Source organism: Homo sapiens, chromosome 15 (assembly GCF_000001405.40).
Source record: "Homo sapiens chromosome 15, GRCh38.p14 Primary Assembly".
NCBI classification, from domain to species: Eukaryota; Metazoa; Chordata; class Mammalia; order Primates; family Hominidae; genus Homo; species Homo sapiens.
The window spans coordinates 77712381-77731453 of NC_000015.10; the positions used below are offsets into that span (position 1 = coordinate 77712381).

At 54.0% G+C, this 19073-nt stretch overlaps 1 protein-coding gene across 10 annotated transcripts in view, besides 1 other annotated feature; it reads right to left on the bottom strand.

Annotated features, from left to right (window-relative positions):
- Positions 1-19073, bottom strand: part of LINGO1 (leucine rich repeat and Ig domain containing 1) — a 207874-nt gene that overhangs the window by 99354 nt on the left and 89447 nt on the right. Inside the window, exon 4 of one of the 10 annotated variants that reach the window (XM_017022682.2) lies at positions 3350-3568. The exons of 8 other annotated variants lie outside the window; for them this stretch is intronic. The gene's annotated coding sequence lies outside the window, so the exon portion shown is untranslated. Of the gene's footprint in view, positions 1-3349; positions 3569-8236; positions 8372-19073 lie in introns of those variants that run through there. One more of the 10 variants, NM_001301197.2, reaches the window with a different exon arrangement.
- Positions 1236-1736: an enhancer, noted in NCBI's record as "H3K27ac hESC enhancer chr15:78005958-78006458 (GRCh37/hg19 assembly coordinates)". NCBI's record gives its function as "activates a minimal SCP1, AML or CMV promoter by ChIP-STARR-seq in primed H9 embryonic stem cells {active_cell/tissue: H9 hESC(primed)}" and the evidence as "EXISTENCE:reporter gene assay evidence [ECO:0000049][PMID:30033119]".

Here is a 19073-nt window from a genome sequence, read left to right on the forward strand (position 1 = left end):
GCATAATGGATGCTCAAATATCTTGCCCCCCTCCCCCTAAGCAGTACTTTCATAAAACCCCAACCTGGATGAATCCAACCAACATCTTGGCACTTATAGCTGGGAGGCCAAATACAGCTAGAGAAATGACCCCACCGTGGAGGCTGTGCCCTCTGTGAGCTTGAATCCCAAACCTGCAGCAATTCCAGCACTGCCCAGCAGTCCCAGCTCCAGCCACCGGCCACCTCACCTCCCCACTCTCCAACCTGGCAGTGGCCCCACCTCCACTCTCCTCCTGCCTCCCTTCCTCCATGTGACCCATCACTCTCCACTGAGACCTCACTTTGTTTTCACTGGGGAAGCAGAAGCCAGCAAATATGAACCCCAGTCCTCTGCCCCTGCACATTCTAGAAGCCCACCAGCTTCGGCCTGCACCCCCCTTCCTGCCTGATGAGGGGTCTCGCTGCTGTTAAAGGTTAATGGCTCCACTTGGACTCTGAACCCACCCCTCATCCTCAGGAATTCAGCTCCCTCCCATCATTACATTATCTTTCAACATCACCTGTCTCTCCCTCTTTTCTGGGTCTTTTGTTCTTCCCAGCAGCAAACAATTGTGTTCTGGTATCTGCCATCCTTTAAAAATCCCCTTCCTTCATTATGCTGGGGTTTTGGTTTTTTGTTTGTTTGTTTGTTTGTTTTTTGAGACAGGATCTTACTCTGTCACCCAGACTGGAGTGCAGTGGTACAATCTTGGCTCATTACAACCTCCACCTCCCAGGCTCAGGCAATTCTCCCACCTCAGCCTCCCAAATAGCTGGGATTACAGGCACACACCACCATGCCCAGCTAATTGTGTGTGTGTGTGTGTGTGTGTGTGTGTGTGTGTGTGTGTGTGTGTTGTAGAGACAGGGTTTCACCATGTTGCCTAGGGTGGTCTTGAACTCCTGAGCTCAAGTACTCTGCCTGCCTCGGCCTCCCAAAGTGCTGGGATTACAAGCGTGAGCCACTGTGCCCAGCCTATGCTGAGTTTTAAAAAAATCAATCTCAGAAGGTGATATACTGTATGATTCCATCTATGTAACACTCATGAAATAACAAAATTACAGAGGAGGACAAATTAGTAGCAGCCAAGCGGGAGGCGTGGGAGCAGGGTTGGGCGGGGAGGGGTGTGCTGGCACAGGGAGTCTTGTAGTGTGGTGCAGATCTACGTCTCCATTGTGGCGCTGGATACACACACAGGACTATATATAAACACTTACATACACACACGCGCACACACACACGAGTGTATGTATAACTGGTGAAATAGAATCAGGTTTGTGGACTGTGCCAACGTCAGTGACCTGTCTCTGATATTGTCCTGGAGTTATGCGAGGCTGGGTAAAGGTATACGCGTCATCATGCCCGCAGCTGACTGAGTTTGCCCTTCCTTTAGGAACCCTCTCCTGGCTTCTGGGATTCCACATCCTTTTGGCTTTCCTCGCACCCCCTAGGTGTGCCTTCTCAGCCTCCTGTGAAGGTTCCTTCTCCTCCCTCAACTCTACATGGTGGTGATCCCAGCGTCCAGGACTTGGTCCTCTCTCCACCACCCACGTCGCTTCCTGGTGGTCCTTGGCTTTGCCCAGGTCTTTAAACACCATCTACAGCTGCTGGTTCCCACGTCCCCATCCCCTATAAAGACCTCTCCCCTGAGCTCCAGGCTTGTGACCACAACTGTCAATAGGACACCTCTGCAGAAGGAGGTGGTCAAAAACGAACTCCTGATCCTCCACTGCACCTCCACATCTCAGAGGATGACCGCAGCGGCTCAAGCCAGGAATTGAGGATCCTTCTTGCCTTCTCCATGACCTTCTCCCTGTCCCCAGTTCTGCTGCCATGATGGGGTCTGCCACCCCCATCACCATGGTTACCATTTTGACCTAGGCCTCCATCATGTCTGCCTCACTCTCTTTCCCTACTTGGCCCTTCCTGCAGCAGCTGGAGAGATCTTTTTTAAAACTTAAATCAGATTGTCACCACCCTTGCTTAACCCAAGCTCATTCACGGCCCCCTGCCCCTTGGAAAATATCCCACAGCCCCAGAGTGCCATGCAAATGCCCTCATTTGGCCCTCTCTCCCCCTGCCACTGCCCTTTGCCACATAGCCTCCTCATCCCCCTCACGGTCCTCCCACAGGTGCTCCCTCACCTGAGGGCCCCGTTGCCCAGTCTTACCAGCTGTCCCTATTCATCCCATCACTGCACCATTAGCATTCTCTGTTTGCCCCAATGGCATGAGAAGCGTGCACAGCCAGTGCCTGGAGCGTGGCAGGCACTCAGTAATGTCTGTGGAGTGAATGGGTGAGCTCTCCCTGCTCTCCTCCCTCTCAGCAGCATCCTCTCTTCCTCCCGCGATAAGCCTGGCTTGCCTGGGCACGGGGGAGGGTGCGCACGTCTCTACGCGCCCACACACTCCACTTTCCCCCAAACAATAACTGATACCCAGATGACTCGATGACATGATCATTTCCCCACGTCTTGGCTGGGAGCTGCTTCCAGTGGTAAAAGTTTGCTGCTTTATGGTCCCAAGAAGACATTAGCCATAACGTGCTAAAATTATCACCTAGTCGAGTCATCTGTTTAAATACTCTGGAAACCAAATACTCCAGGGCTGAGTGCTATTCCCAGTGGTCCTGGATGCCAATGGTGGGCCTGGTTGTCTGGAACACTGAGCTCTTGGGTCTGAGCCCACCTGAGCTTGGCCAGCCTACTCTGCAAGGTGACTGTGGTCACACGTGGGATGTGGCAATGCGACACTTCATGGCTGGCATGCTGCACGTACCCCATATGGGGTACTCTCCACCCCTTTCACACATCCATGGGGCGCTAGGAGGAAATGGGGCAGCCCTATCAGCGTGGGCCCAGCAGGCAGCCTCAGGGCTGAGCAGGGCGTGGCTTGGGGGCCTAGGAGGGGTCTGAGGAGTCAGTCAGTTGTGACAAACAGATTTGGGCCCAGCCTGAATATCACTGTTGGAATGAGTGGAATTACATGAAATGTCATTAACTGTCCTGAGAGGTAGTGAGCTCCCTATCACCAGCAGTGTCCAAGCAGAGCAGGGCATTTTAGGAACAGAGTCTCCAGCCCTGTGATGCTGGGACTTGGGCCACAAGAAGAGTGGAGTTCCAGAGCCAAACAGACACAAATTCAAATCCCACCTGTACCACTGACAGCTTGGGTAACCCCGGGCAAGTCACATAACAGTACTCAGATGCAGTTTCCACAAAGAAATAATGGGAACAAGATGTCTGCATGCAGTAGGTGCCTACTAAACACTAGCCCAGCCCCTCCTGCGCTGGGGCCTGTATCATTTCCTACTTCCTCCTCATAAATACCTCCACCTTGGCCTTAGTATTCTCCAAATATCCTTTCTGCCTGTCCCCAACAGGTGCCCAGGGCCACCCTCCTCTCCATTCATCTCAGGACAAGTGCTGGGACCACTTCCTCCAGGAAGGTGTCCCTGGCTGCTCTGAAGGGGGCTGGGCTCCTCTCCACTGGCACGCTGTGCACATCAGGTGTTTGAGGCTGGTACGGCTCTGGTGTCTCACGGTCAGCTGAGGGAGGGAAACATACTGTGTGTGAGTGGATGTGTCCTGCAATAATGACGACAAATACTTAACATGCATTTACTATGTGCCAGCCACTTAACAGGCGACCAGCTCATTCAACCTGCACAACAAGTTATGAGGGAGGCACTCTTCTTATCTCTATTTTATAGAAGGGGGAAGTTCTATAAACTTCAGTGACTTCTCCAAAGTCTCACAGCAATAAATGGCAAAGCCAGATTTGTAGCCAGGCAGTGTGGCCCCAGTGTCTCCATTCCTCTCAGCTTCTCAATACAGACACTGCTCCCCACTTTGGGCTATTTTCTTTCTTCTTCTTCTTCTTTTTTTTTTTTTTTTTTGAGACAGGGTCTCACTCTGTCACCCAGGCTGGAGTGCAGTGGTGTGATCACAGCTCACTGCAACCTCCACCTCCTGGGCTCAATCAATCCTCCCATCCAAGCCTCGCAAGTAGCTAGGACTACAGGTGTGCACCAGCACACCCAGCCGGGCCCTCTCACTAGTCCTGCAGGGAGTCAAGAGTCATCCTAGGTGTATGGCTATGTACACTGTGATCCGGAGTCCAAGACACGTGCAGGAATACACACACACACGCACTCATACACACACACGTCTATGCAGCATTAGTAACACAGACTCAGGCATACACAACATGAGTGAAGAGCCATCTACTACCAGTTCATCGCCTGAGTGTCTCTGTCTCCCAACTCTCCTCCTCCCAAGCCAAGATGGGCAGGGAGCGAATGGTGGAGACTCAGGTACTGTCCACCTCCACTACCAAGTCTGTCCTAGATGTCAGCATTTCAAACCTCAGTCCCCCCATGTGATAAGATCCCTTTGTAATGGTGGCAACTTCGAGGCTCAGAGAGGGTTGGACACTCCCCTCAGCTCACACAGCAAGTCAGGGCCCAGGGAGTTCCCAACAAATGCTTCCCCATGCCTTCCCAGGGTCACCTCCAGAATCTCGGATTCCAGCCATTTCCCTTATTCTCACTTGCATTTAGCAGGACGTAGATAAAAAGAGAAGAGAAAACAATAAGAGAAAGAAGGGAAACAGGAGAGAGGAGAGAGACCCAGGAGGAGAGGAGATGAGGAGGAGGGGAAGCCTGAGCCGCGGGGTGCTCAAGCTCAGCACTCTGCTCCCCAGCGCCCCTTGCCCACAGCTGCCACCCAGAGGAGTGCAGCAAGGCGGGGGTTAACTCTCTGCCGTGGAGCAGAAAATGAGGTTCCAGTTATTAGTTGATTTATTGCTCTGTCCTCAATCTGCGCTCAGGTCCTGGAAGGAAATGTTCCACTCGAAAGCATTAAGCGTCTTCAAAGAGCAGAGGCATTAAAAATTGAAATCATAAAATAGACACGTAAATACAGTGGAGGTGAGGGGGGGCAGCCCCCAGGCGGGCAGAGGTGGGGGTGGCAGGCCCAGGTGCCAGCCAGCCTGTGGGGCCGCCACATGCATGTAGGAGCCAGTGTGTCTACCAAGGCGAGGGGGGTGTTCCTGCCCAGAACTGGCACCCCAGCCCTGCTCACAGTGCCCAAAAGCCCTCCACTGGCACACCACGTGTGAGAGGATCAGAACTGTCCTGCCTGTGAAAGCACGTTTCCCTCTTGGCAGAGGGTCAGAAGCTCAGCCCCGATAGTTGGGGAGGAATGGCAAGGAGAGGCAGACAGGCAGGGAGGGCTCAGCCCGCTTCTACCTTAGCTGGCACTAAGAAGGAAGACAGCCTCGGGAGCCTGGGCCAGGGCGGCCCCCACCAAGCCCAGGCCCGGGCTGTTCTGCACAGGAGGGAGCCTCAGCAGACAGGGTGCAGCGGAGGCCCTGCTCAGCACGGCTCAGACCCCATTGGATACCTACAGTCTGGCTCCACTATGGTGGGGAAAGGCCCAGCCCAGCCAGGCTGGACCTCAGAGGGGCCCAAGGGGGCCCGAGTGGAGAAGGAAGGCCCCTGCTCCATCATCAGCTCATCTGGGCAGTGGAGTCATGAAGCAGGTGATACAGCCTCTGCTCCCTCCGCACAGGCAGAACTTTCCCAGGGCTGGAGGCCCAGGGAGCTGGGAGCAGGGCCGAGGCCTGCCCAGAAGCTGGTGCCCAAGAGGATGCTCATGAGCAGCTACAGAGACAGCGCCATCCCCCATGGGAGCAGGGCTCCCAGCCCAGGCCTGAGCTCACATCACTGACTCGCTACCACCCACCTAGGGAGCCACCTTCTTCCAGGGCCCACGGAGGGGTCTTGCCGTGGCCCTCAGCTTCACACGCAGACCTACACAGGAAGACACGTATGTGTGAACATGCAGGGACAGAGCTGGAGAAGTGCAGCACCCCAGACACGCGGGTTTAACAGCCACATGTATGAATGCACACGCTCATGCATACCCACGCCCATCCCATGTATACAGAGGAGCATGCCCACGCATGGCTGTGCATGTGATATGCACACAGCGCCCACATGTATACACACACGTGTCAACATGCACACCTGGACGAGCTCACACACGCCCATGTGTGTATGTGTATACAGGACCACACACATGTATGTATTGCGTGCCTACACATGTACAGACTCACACATCCACGCATATTTGCATGGCACATGTCCACACACACGTCCACAGGCAAGCCTCTAGACCCCAATATCGGACCCCAGAGATGCACGCTGGGAGCCAGCCTGCAGTCTTCTCATGGGAAAGAGGCAGGGGTCTAGGGACCCATTAGCATCACTTTCTCTGGCAGTATAGACCCCTTAGTCACAACTGCGTGGCCTTGGTCACCATCATAACCCCCTGGGGTCAGGATGCCTGGGCTCTGTGCCTGCCCCAGCCCCTGGTTCCCAGCTGTGTGACACGGGCCCGAGCCCCCGACCCTCTTGGTCCATGTACTCTGTGGGCTACCGGGGCCTCCCTGACTGCCACAGCATCTTCCTCAACCAGGTGGTAGGGCGAGAAGAAGCTCCTAACCTTATTTCCTCATTTCTAGCAGCAAGAGAGGCTGGGGCTGGGCTGGGGTGGAGGGAACTGGGGAAACCGACAAGGCCTCAGTCTGTGTCTGGGGCAGAGTGTGGACCTGCCTGAGTGGCACAGCAGCCAAAGTCCTCCATAAATGAGGAGCTTGTCCAGGCAGGGCGGAGGGTCCAGAGAGAACTGGGGCCTCCGGGAGGGGGCCAGTTGACTGGGCAGGCAGTCAACTCTCCCTCCCAGGGGCACCTCCTGGGACGTCCTCCTCACTGCCTCTTTGAGAGTGAGGCCAGGTTTGCCTGAGCCCCTCTGGGCAGTGACAGGACTGAGCGGCTCCCCAGGCCTGGGGTGGCTGGGTGGTGGAGTGAGGAACCCCACAAAGTCTCCTGCCAGCACCAGCACCAAGACACTTCTACTCGGGGCTTCTGGGACCCCATCTCCATTCGGTCCCTTTAGGAGAAGGGATGGTGGTCAACTGAGTGCCCCTCCTCCATGTAAGATCATCCCCCGCCTCCACCCTCACAGGCAGATCAGAGCCACACAGTGCCACGAAACCCAAACGCCTCCCAGGTCAGGCTGGCATGGACATGAGGACGGGGAGGTCACGGGAGACACACGGGGGCAGCCACCACGCAGCACTCGGCTCCTGCCGGCATATGCTTGCTGGGCCTCTGACTTTTCAAGAGACTCCAGAAGCCAGATTTTGATAAGAAACCTCTCAATCTTCCAACAATCTGTGGGCTGAGGTTTTTGCCACACTCTGTGGCTAGAACACATACACACACACATGCTCTCATACATATGTGTACTCACATTCACGCACATATATACAATCTCATTCACACACTCACATTCACACACTCACACATACACAAACTCACATTCACACACACACGCACACTCACACGCTTTCATACACACATATGTACTCACACACACACAGACTGGCACTTATACACATGTGCATGCATACACACACATACACACACACACACAACTATGAGACAGATTCTGCCTCTGAGCCACCACTTGTGACCTCTAACTTAGGCAAAGAGAGGAACTGAGGCTGGGGACAGTGAAGCTATGCTCAAAGCTCTTGTTCCCTTCCACTCAGTCTCCCTGGCAGTGAAGCCCCTGCCTCACCACCCCTCCTGCTGACTTGCATCCACCTCTTCTAGCACACACACCACCACCCCCTTGGCTTCACCAAGGACCCCTGCTCCTACCACCAGCCCCACCCCACCCCTCCACTCCAATACCGATCCTGGCCCTGACACCTCAGTCCCCCACATGTAATTTTTCTTAATTGGGAGCTCGTTAATTATCTCCATGCTGTCCAGAGGAAATAAACAGCAATTAGAGGAGTAAACGGCGTTTTTATTCTGCAGCCGACTCTGCCAAGCAGTGCCCCGGCCTGTCCCGCCCCAATGGCCAGTCCCGCCGCCCGCCAGGTCCACGCACCTGCCCCTCTGCCTGCATCCGCCCCCACGTGTGTGAGCGCAGTGCCTGCCACCAGGCCACCCGGCAGCAGGTCGCCTTTTGGAATCTGCATGAAGAACCATAAATTGTTGAGAAAGGGCCTCCTTCCCCATGCAACAGAAGGTTAGAGTGTTTAAAGAGAGCAGTGGAACTGTTTTTATTAATCAGAACTGCTGTAAAGAAAGCATTTTAATTAACATAATTATCCCGATTGAGAAAAGCAGTCCTTACCCCATAGATACTTTTCAGACTAAAGATGTAAGCTGTCACAATCAGTCATAATTAAGTCAAGCAAGCTATTTTTTTTTTTCTTGAGCTCCCTTCCCCTCTCGGGCACCCGCTCCTCCTTGGGTTAGATCTCAGAGTGGAGACCAGGCAGACGTGACAACGTCCGCGTGCTCCTGTGCTCACACCCCAGCTGCCTCTTCAGCTGCCTTCCAGACAGGGAAGGCCCCAGGCCTGGGGCCCAGCACCATGACTCCCTCCACAGCTGGCTCAGCAAAGCCTCCCCGCCTCCCTCATCCCTCCACCCACGGCTGAAGGACTGTCCCTCCCAGACACCTTCCGGGACTCTCCTGGGTCAGCAGGCCTGGAGAGGATACAGGGGAACAACAGAGAGCCAGAGGGCAGCCTGACCAATACCATGGTCTGAGCCACCGCCCCTCCTGCCTCAATGCTCACATTCACCCCTACCCACTCCCCAGTCCACTCCTGACTCAAAGCCAAGGTCGTTTCCTCCTGTGACAGCCAGAAATCTGTCCATACCACAAATCCAAGTGTCTAACCCTCCCGCCCCAGTCACCCCGCTTCATGGCCCTCGTGAGACCCGGCCCTAACCCCCTCCAGCCATACCTCCCCAAGCTCACTCCACTCTAGCCACACTGGCCTTTCAGAATCCCCTGGAGCCTCTGCCACAGGGCCTTGGTATGTGCTCTTCCCTTTGCCTGCTGCCCCTCTTCCCCCAGCCACTGCCTCCCACCCTCTCGGCTCACACATTCATCCTGCAGTGCTCAGCCCTGGTGTCACCTCCTCCCAAAGCCCTTCCCTGCCTCCCCGACCTGGTGGGTCTCCTCTTAAATACCCTGACAGCACCCCACATCTGCCCCTTGGTGGTAGATACACCGCAGCTTCACGACATTGTTGGCATTCTTTATTTGTCACCTCCATTCAACTACAGAAGCTCCATGAAGAACCCGGTTTGATTGACTGTGTTTTTTATTTGTTTACTATTGTATCCCCAGTGCCTACCACAGTGCTTGGCTCCTGGTCCAGGCCTGCCCTAAGTCTGAGAAAGTCTGTTTTGAGGTGGGATGAGAAGGGGCAGAGGAAGACAGGAGCACCTCCTGCATAGCGTTGGCCTTGGGCTTGGGGACCAGGCTTGGGGCAGCTCTCAGGATGTATGACCTCGCAACTTCATCCTCCCACCCCGGGCCTCAGCTTCTCCATCTGAAATGGGCAGCCTGGAGCAGGTAACTTCCCCTGCCCCCTAATTATGCCCCTATCCACCCCAACCTCTAACATGACCCCCCAAAGCGTGACCTCCCTCTTCCCGCTGCAGAGCCAGAAATGCTGACAAATCCACTTGCTCATCAAGTACCTGCTCACCTTCCGAGGCTGCCTGGTGGGGGGTGAGGCTGGGTGCTTGATGCTCCCACCCCTCTCTGCACCTGCAGGGTGACATGTGTGTAGGTGACACCACGGACATATTTCACCCCGACATGCTGCAGTTTCCTCCCTGAAAAGGTGCTTATTTTTTAGTATATCTTAAATAGGAGCCTGCAAAATGTGTTGTCAGCTTTTAAATGGCCCGGTAAAGCTCAGCACACCGGCCAGGGAAGACAGCTCACTCGCAGCCCGTCTCTGAGTACATAACCTGGCTGAGCCTCTGGGCTGGACTCTGGGTTTATCAGGAGGCCCAGGAACTAGACTGTCCCCCAACAAAAATATGCCAGGAGCTCCTTGCCCTAGGGCCACAGGGCGTGGCAACCCTCTGGAGATGGCAGGAGGCAAGCTGGGGCCCTGCCTGGCAGAGGAAAGAGGAATGAGCACTGGCTTTAGAGTCAAGTGGCCCAGGTTCAAATCCCCACTTGGCCACTCACAAGCTATGTGAACTCAGGCCAGTGACTAATCCTCTCTGGGCCTCAAGTTTCCTCATCTATAAAATGGCGATGCTAACTCCTACCTCAAGGCAATTTTTAAGAGTGATGCAGGAAGTGGATACTGTGCCAGGTAACATTTAATTTTTAAGGTGTGGTAATGGTATCACGGTTCTGTCTTTTAAAGGGTCCTCATCTTTTAGAGATATGCGCTGAAATATTTATGGAAAAAATTATACAACATCAAAATAACCTGGTGGTGGTGGAGAGTGCGTGGGTGTAGAGGAAAGAGGGCTGGTCATAAGTTGGTGCTGGTTGACAGAGCATGGAATTTGAGAACCATCACAAGGGCACCCGATGGATGCTCAGTAACCCAGGGGTGCACTCTCCAGCCCCTCACGCAGTAACCCGGGGAGGGCAGCAGCAGGGCTGTGGAAAGCACCAGCAGGGCGCTCCGGGGCTGGGCCTTCACAGCGCCCCTGGAGGCTCCTGCAGTTCACAGAGTGGAGACAGACAGGTCGGGGGCCCTCAGGACCAGCACACTTGCAGGCTCCGTCCCAGCTGTGTGACCCAGGGCCCATCGCTTTCCCTCTCTGAGCTCTAGTTTTCTGTCTGTCGTTAAAATGGGGATGGTAACAACATCCCATCCTCACCTTCCATCCCACCCCGCCCCCACCCCCAGACAGGCACTGAGGGGAGTAAGTGTGAGGATCAAGACAGCCACAGAGCAGTGAGCGCGGCCTGAGGCAGGGGTTTCATCAGCCTTAGAGCCCCTTGCCTTCCTCTGCGAATCTAAATGCAACCGTGTCATCTATTGAATGCTGCTGTAAGCAGGCAGGCCTCCTGCTGAGCACCATGATGCAGACCTGCTAAGAGTCATCCTGCCCTCAAGAAGCTCCTAGAGGAAGAGTCATTTCTGTGGCCAGGATGAAGGCGGTGGATAATTAAAATAATAACAATGACGACAACCGAGGCTGACGTCTCTGCGTGCTTCTGACGTGCCCGGCACGTGTCCCAGGCTTTACCTGCGCCTCTCCATCAACCCTTAGCACCACCTACGAGGCAACTGGTATCACTGTCCCCTTTTAGTTGGGGAAACTGAGGCTCAGGGAGATTGAAAACAAGTGAGTGCACAGCCAAGTCCTGGACCCGGGCCCCACCCTAGTCCAGGCTCAGCAGGGCAGGGAGGGACTGCCCCCAGGCCTGGGCATCCTGGAGGGATGAGCAGCACAAAGTGCCACACCCAAGCAGGCCCTCCCCAGGCCTCAGTTTCTTCACCTGTGACATGGGGATGGAACGACCCCAGCCCCAGCTGGGGGGCATCAGGGGAAAGTGGCACAGGTGGGGGAGGGGGCAACAGTTCCAAACGGAGCCGAGGCGGCTGTGAGGTAAGTCGGGGCGCGGGGGCGGGAGGCGAGAGAAAGAGACAGATCTCTCAGGCTCAGCTCAGGCGTTGTGATATTTTTCCCCAGGTTATATTTTTAGATGGACTACTTTCTCTCCCCTCCCCCTGCCTCAGTAGGAGGAGGAACACAGAAATAGCCGGGCGTGCGTGTCTGAGCTGGGCTATATATAGTGGGCACAAACCCAGTCACCCGGGGCTTCTCCCACTCCTTGCACCCGGAGCAGGAGCGGGGAGTGGGGAGGGGGGCCCCTTCCTCTTATCCAATGGCCCCAGGGTCTGCTCAGCTCTGCCCGCTTCCTCCAGGTACCCCCATCCCAGCACATACCTGTGCCCACACATGCACACATACAGATGCACACATGACTGAAGCCTGTCTGCACCGACTCAGCATCAGGGGCTTTTGAGGGGTCCAGAGCAACCTTAGGGGTGTGAATTGGGCAGGGAGGGTGGCGTGAGCCAGGCCAGGAGATGATTTTGGCTATGACTCTCTCAGCCTCGGTTTGCTGATCTGCAAACGCGGGGACTTATCAGGTCTGTGGGCCCTTTACCGCTTCAGAAGACGCAACTAATGTCGAACACATTCCCCCAGCTGCGCCCGTCTGTGTCCCCGTTGTTGAGATGAGGAAACTGTGCTGGCACTGGCCAAGGTCACCAGCAAGCCTGCAGTGGCAGAGGCACTTTCTAGTTTCAACCTCGCCTCTCCGGGCTCAGTTTCCTCATCTGTGAAGTGGAGATAATAAGGTCAGCACCCACTTCATGGGCTATGGTGAGGAATGGATGAGGGGGAGGCACATAAAGTGCCTAATGTGGGCTTCCATAACTAGGGAGAGGGCCACGAGCACCCAGGGCAGTAAGCACCCCCGAGTCTCCCTACTACCTCCCTTGGCCACAGCCCACCACTGGGCCAGGCTCTAGCCTCATGTTCAGGGGCTGAACCATGCCCTCCCCCACAGTCTACCTTGGCAGACCTTCAAGAAAAAGCCCACAGCCAAATCACCCACACCCAGCCCAGGGCAAGTATCAGCAACTGCTTCCCAGACGGTGTGTGGACCCGGCCACCGCCCCACCCCAGGAGAGCCTGAGATGAAGGCCTGGCCTCCTCCCAGGCCTCCCAGTGCTGGTCACACTAGCCATGCTGAAGGATCAGAGCAGAAGGACCTCACGCCCATACCCACCCTTTCCTGATGGTGGGGCTCCCTTCTGGGTGTCCAAGCTGGTTTGGGTGTGCCCAGTCCAGAGGCAGGTCTACACAGGCTCTGCTGACTTTCTGCCCCAGGACCTGAGAAGGACAGAAAGCCCTGAACGGGGAATTCAGCCATGGGGGTTGGGGGTTTCAGTTTTCCCATCGGTACTTATTCTCCACAGAGGAATTTAAATCCATCACCTTGGCTGGGCGAGGTGGCTCATGCCTATAATCCCAACACTTCAGGAGGCCAAGGCAGGAGGATCACTCAAGCCCAGGAGTTTGAGAACAGCCTGGGAAACATATCGAGACCCTGTCTCTACCAAAAAGAAAATAAAATTCTCTAGGCACAGTGGCGTTGCACCCAACTACTGTAGCAACCACTGGGGAGGCTGAGGTAGGGGGATCACTCGAACCCTGGTGGTCGAGGCTGCAGTGAGCTATGATCACACCACTGCACTCTAGCCTGGACAACAGAGCAAGACCCTGTCTCCAAATAAATAAATAAATAAATAATCAATGATCTTGTTTAACCCTCACAACTTCCCTGAGAAAGGTACAATGGTTATTTTGCAGATGGAGAAACAGAGGCACAGGGTGGGGAAAAGGCCTGCCTGGATCACACAGAAAGCGACAGGCAGCTCCTGTGAGAGGTAGAGCCTGCATCTGCCAGACCTGGGAAAGCCAGGATGTGAGCCTGGAAGGTGGACTCCTGTGTTGAACAACTGGCTTGGAAAATTCCTGAATATGTGTCCATGGGCTTGAAAGAGAGCTGGTCTGAGATGGCTCCAGCATAGCACGCCCAGGGAGCGTACATAGAGCGGCCGCCCCACCACTACTCCTGTATCCATCCCCTGGCCATTGAGTGTTTGAGCCCAAGTGCAAAACTTCATTTTCCTGGCTGCAGAGTTCCATTTGGTTGGTAGGTTTCAGCTCAGAGCTTCTGCCAGCTGAGCACCCATGGTGAGAACTGCCTCTCACTGGCAAATGTGGGACTCAGCACCTTCATCTGAGTCATCGGAAGATTAGGGCAGGAGGAGGCCACAGCCCTAAGCTGCCCCACTGAGACCTTTTTCTCCCCCAGACCAGTGTCCAGTGTTGACCCTTTGGGCTGTTGACTCTACACAAGTCCTCCTGAGTGAACTGAGCACCTGTGTCTCCGCCCCTGTGTCTGATGGAGTTCCTGACCCTACCCAGAGGTCCCCAAAGCACTGGAGATGGGTGAGGAAGAAGCCTGCATCCCTGCAGTGGGCTGCCTCCCCCACAGGCACCCCATCCTGCCCTACCTGGCCTGGGTGCAGCAAGACCCAAAGACCCAGAGGAGGAAAGACTCAGGGCCAGAGCAATAGGCATCATCAGGAAGAAGGAGCACAAGTCCTGTCCTCATTAGGGCACCCAGATATCAAGACCCTGCACAAGAAAGAATGAGCTTGCAGTTGCTACGGCCTCTGCTCAGTTTCTGGATTTCCACAAGCAAAACAAATGAAGCTGGACTCTTACCTTACACCATATACAAAAATTAACTTCAAATGGGTGAAAGACCTAAACACAAAACCTGAAACTATACCACTCCTAAAATAAAACATAGGGGAGAAGCTTCATGACATTGGATTTGGCAATGATTTCTTGGACATGACACCAAAAACACAGGCAACAAAAGCAAAAATAGACAAATGGGACTACATCAAACTTAAAACCTTCTGCTTAACAAAGGAAGCAATCAACAGAGTGGAAAAGCAACCTACAGAATGGGAGGAAATGTTGGCAACCCATGTATCTGAAAGGGGTTAATATCTAGAATACATAAAGAACTTCTACAACTCAACAACAAAAATAATCCAATCAAAAATTGGCAAAGGACTTGAATAGACATTTCTCAAAAGAAAATATACAAATGGCCAAAAAGCAGATGGAAAGATGCTCAGCATCGCTAATCATCAGGGAAATGCAAAGCAAAACCACAATGAGGTCTCACCTCACCTCAGATAGGGATGGTCACTACGGAAAGAAAAATAAGTATTTGCAAGGACATGGAGAAATCAGAACTTTTGTGTATTGCTAGTAGGAATGTAAAATGGGGCAACCACTAAATTAATTGTAAAAATTAAAAATAGAATTACCATTCGATCCAGCAATCCCACTTTTGGGTGTGTGTATGTGTGTGCATATATATACATATCATAATTGAAAACAGGATCTCAAAAGAGGTATGTGCACACTCATGTTCATTGTAGCATTATTCACAATAGCCAAGAGATGGAAACAACCCAACTGTCTATCAACAGATGAACAGATAAACAAAATGTGGTGTATACAGATGATGGACTATTTTTCAGCCTTAAAAAAGGAAGGAAACACTGTCACATGCCACAGTATGGATGAACACGGAGGACATTATGCTATGTGAAATAAGTCAGTTACAAAAAGACACATATATATGGTTTCCTAGTATGAGGTACCTAAGGTGCTCAAACTCTTAGAAAGTAGCAGGAAGGCTGCCAGGGGCTGTGGGGACAGCCAAAGGAGCGGTTGTTGTCCAGTGGATACAGAATTTTGGTCATGCAAGATGAAAAGGAATCTGGTGTACAGTAAGGGGCATACAGTTCACACTGCCTTACTGTGCACTTATACATGGCTAAGATGATACATTTTATATGTTTTTTTTTTACCATAATTTAAAAAAAAAAAGAAAAGGAAAAAATGAGCTTCATCCCCATCCTATAGATGAGGAAACTAGCACTCAGAGAGGTGAAGTAATTTCCCCAAGGTCACACAGCTGGCAGGTGGCAATGCGGATTCAAAGCCCTTTTGCCTGGCTCCCGGGGACACTGCACATTCCTTTGAGAAAATGTCCAGGGCTGTCACATGGGCACTCTACAACAGCTTTTGGAGGAGGCAAGTCTTAACCATGCATCTTAAAACAGGATAAATGGCTTTGCAGCACACTAAAGGGCCGTCCCTGGGAGAAGAGGAGGAGTCCCCTCTTACCAGGCCTCTTCAGAGAGCCCCAGGTCAGGGCTGTGTCTCCTCCCCCAGTCCAGGCCTCTTCCCTGACTGCCTGCCTGGCAGAAATGGCCCCTGGCTGCCCTCAGCCTCCTGGCCCGGCCAGGTCTGGCGGTGATCGATCCTGCCCAGGTGCAGGCATTTTAGGCAGCTGCCTCTCCCACTGCCTGGCAGTGTGATTAATGCTCACCCTGCGAAGAGCCCACTCATCATGGACATGCCACATGCCCACCAGCTAGAGGCAGGTGGGCTGCACCAGCGTCTGCTGAGTCCCAACCCCCAGAGCTCACCCTGTTCCGGCCAGGCCAGAGACCAAAGCCTCGTTCGTCTCGGCTGCTGAGGGCTGGGGGCTGGGAGTGGGTGCCACACACAGGGGCCACACCTGGAAGGGGGTTTCCTGTGGCCCTCACAGCCTCACTCCTACCCTCTCCTCCCAGCCTCCAGGGAGGGGTCTGAGGGCAGCTCCAGCTCCAGCTTGGGGATGGGATGAAGCTAATGGGAACCCCGCCTCATCCACTCCCTCCTAGCTGTGTGACCTCAGGCAGGCCTCCTTGTCTCTGGGCCCGTTTCCATGTCTGCAATGTGGGCATCACACTTCTCCCTCACTAGCCCTTGGGAGGAGCCATGAAGACAAATGCTTGGAATGTAGTCCAGACTGCCGAGGTTCAAATCCCCACTCTGCCACTTAAGGACTGTGTACTTTTGGGCAAGTTTCTCATCCTCTGTCTGCACTTCAGTTCTCTGTAGAAACAGCTCATGGACTGTAGCGAGGATTAAATAAATAACTATTTGTAAATTGCTTAGCACAGTGCCTGGCACATAGCGGGCACTGAGGAAACAGGAGCTGTTATTACTCTGGGTCTGCTGTTGCTGTCCTATTTCACAAAGCTGTTTTGAGGTCTGGACTTGGCCAAGTATTTGCAAGGTATTCTGCAAAGTGGAAAACCCACTCTCTGCGATGACTGAATGTCCATTCTCTTTAACCCTCCTTCCCTGCAAGGCTTATGGCACCCACACCCACCCAAGCGCCCAGTTGGCACTAGGAGGGCCCAGCCGGCACTGGGAGGGAAGCTGGGAAGACTCCACTCTGCCTCTGGGCAGCTCAGTGCCAGTGGGGAGATGATGGAGGCACATCCAGGTCAGAGAGCACTTGCAGAGTTGGGCTAAGGAAGGGGATGCAAAGAAGCCCCAAGGGCTGAGCTAGGCTCAGGATTAGAGATCAGAGGCCAGGTGCAGGGAGGCGCAGCTGATTATCAGCCAATGAGGAGACACTGAGGGTCCTTGAGGAGGAGGGCAGAGCAAGCAGAGCTGGTCTCAGGCCCAGGACTGCAGATGTGCAGACCCAGCTTAACCCTTGCTCCTCCCTGTGCAGACCCAGCTAGACAGAAGAATCCAGAGCTGGGAGGGCTGGGAGCTGGTGGAGGGAGAGCAGGGCAAGCATCAGGGGCTGTGGCCCAGTGGTCCTTGTCCTGGGCCCCAGATCACTCTGTGCAGGAAGAGGATCTCCCTGCCTGGAGTTGGCCAGCCCTCTGACCCAGGTCTGAGATCTGACCTCCACTCTCCACACTCTGAGCTGCCGTGGGCTGCAGAGATGTTGGAATAGATATGGCTCCCGCTCCTCCAGGAAACCTACTCCTTCTCAAGGACTATATGCTGTTTTGCTCCTGTGGACAGCACAGTTCTCATAACTGATAGTTCCCTTTTCATTCTGACTACCAGGAATCATAGAACCAACTATTCAGCCCAAGATTGGACCCTCTGTATCCGTGTTCTAATGCTCCCCAAGCTTTTCCTTGCTATTGCATCCTATTTTCCCCTGCCTTGAATTGTCTACCTTGGTATCACAATTATGCTTAGCTCTCACAAATACTTATTGGAATAAGGTAGGTATAAATATAAAAATAGTTAATGTGCAAAATGGCAAATCCCCTCCGTCCCCCACATTTACCTGCTCCCCAGGGAATGAAAAACTCAGGACTGGAGGTCCGGGGTTGGGAGCGTTGTGGGGGGAGTAGGGGGAAGGCTGAAGCAGGCCCCAGCCCTGTCCCTCTTGGCTCTGGCATCTAGTTGCACATAGGAGGAAGGCTCTGCTTTCAACCTAGAATGTTCTATAGCCCTGCTAATAACAATGACAACTTTGACTAGAATTTACTGAGTGCCTACTACATGCCAAGTGTCATTCCTAGTGCAGTACCTGACTATGCCATTTATCCCCTAACAGCCCTGTGAGGTGGGTTCTGCTATCATTTTCCTGTTACCCAATGGGAAAACTGAGGCCCAGAGAGCTTAAGTAACATGTCTAAGACCACACAGCTGGTAAGTACTGGAGCTGGGACTCACGCTATGCTGTCTGATGCCACAAACCAGGTTCTCAGTAGCTACCCATCTTGCCTCAGGGGCTCGGGCAGTGCACATGACTTTCTGAGACTGAGATGGTCCAGCGCCTGCCCCGTACCCGTCTGTGCCGGGCTGCCCCTGCCTCTCTGTCCCTCTATATCCAGACTGGTCCAGACTCTCTTTCCCTCTAGCTGCACAGGCAGGCATCAGGCCTGGGCCACAGCATCAACCTGGGGGAGACACAGGCAGAGGGCATCAGTAGACGCTCTGGAGCAGCAAGGCAGGGGGAAAAAAGCCAGACTTTGGCATCAGAGTGGCATGGGGCCCTCTTGAGCCTCAGTCTCCACATCTGTAACATGGGAACAGGAAGGACTTGCAGGCAGGTTAGACTGAGGGGAGGTGTGGCCCATGCCTCCCTCAGGCCTGGCCACAGAAAGGCTGGTAAATGACAGCTGGGGCAGGGTCCTGGCTCTTCAGCACCTTGAGGTGCTGTCCTGGGACTGCCCACTGAGAAAAACCAGAGCTGGGTCCCCCAGGACCTCTGGCCACCATTAGGGTCAGAATCCTGCCCCACAACTGCCTAGCTGTGTGGCCTTGGGCAAGTCACTCTGCCCCTGTGGCCTTGGATAACGGGAGAATGATGTTTACTCATGCTTGGCATTCAATGTCTTAGCTGAGAATTATTTTTATTATTCCGGGTACCTTCCAGCCCCCCAGACACCCCTCCATCCTGGCAGGCAGGCTGGGGTGGGGGCAGAGTCATGGGAGGCACATGTGCGGGAGAACAGGCTGGGCCCAGACACCAGGCTCCAATGTAGAAGCCGCCCCCAGGTGCCAATACTGTAGGAGGTGGCAGAGAGCCGCCCCACTGCCCTAGTTTCCCAGAGAGCTTCCTTGCTGAAGTGGGGAGAGACTCGGCACACAAATGCACATGCACACACATGCACATCCAGACCCACGCGTGTCCCCTGCCCGGGACAGCCAGAGCCTGGCACTAGAGCCTGCCCCACTCCTGGTGCCCTCAGCCCCTTCAGGGCACAGGAC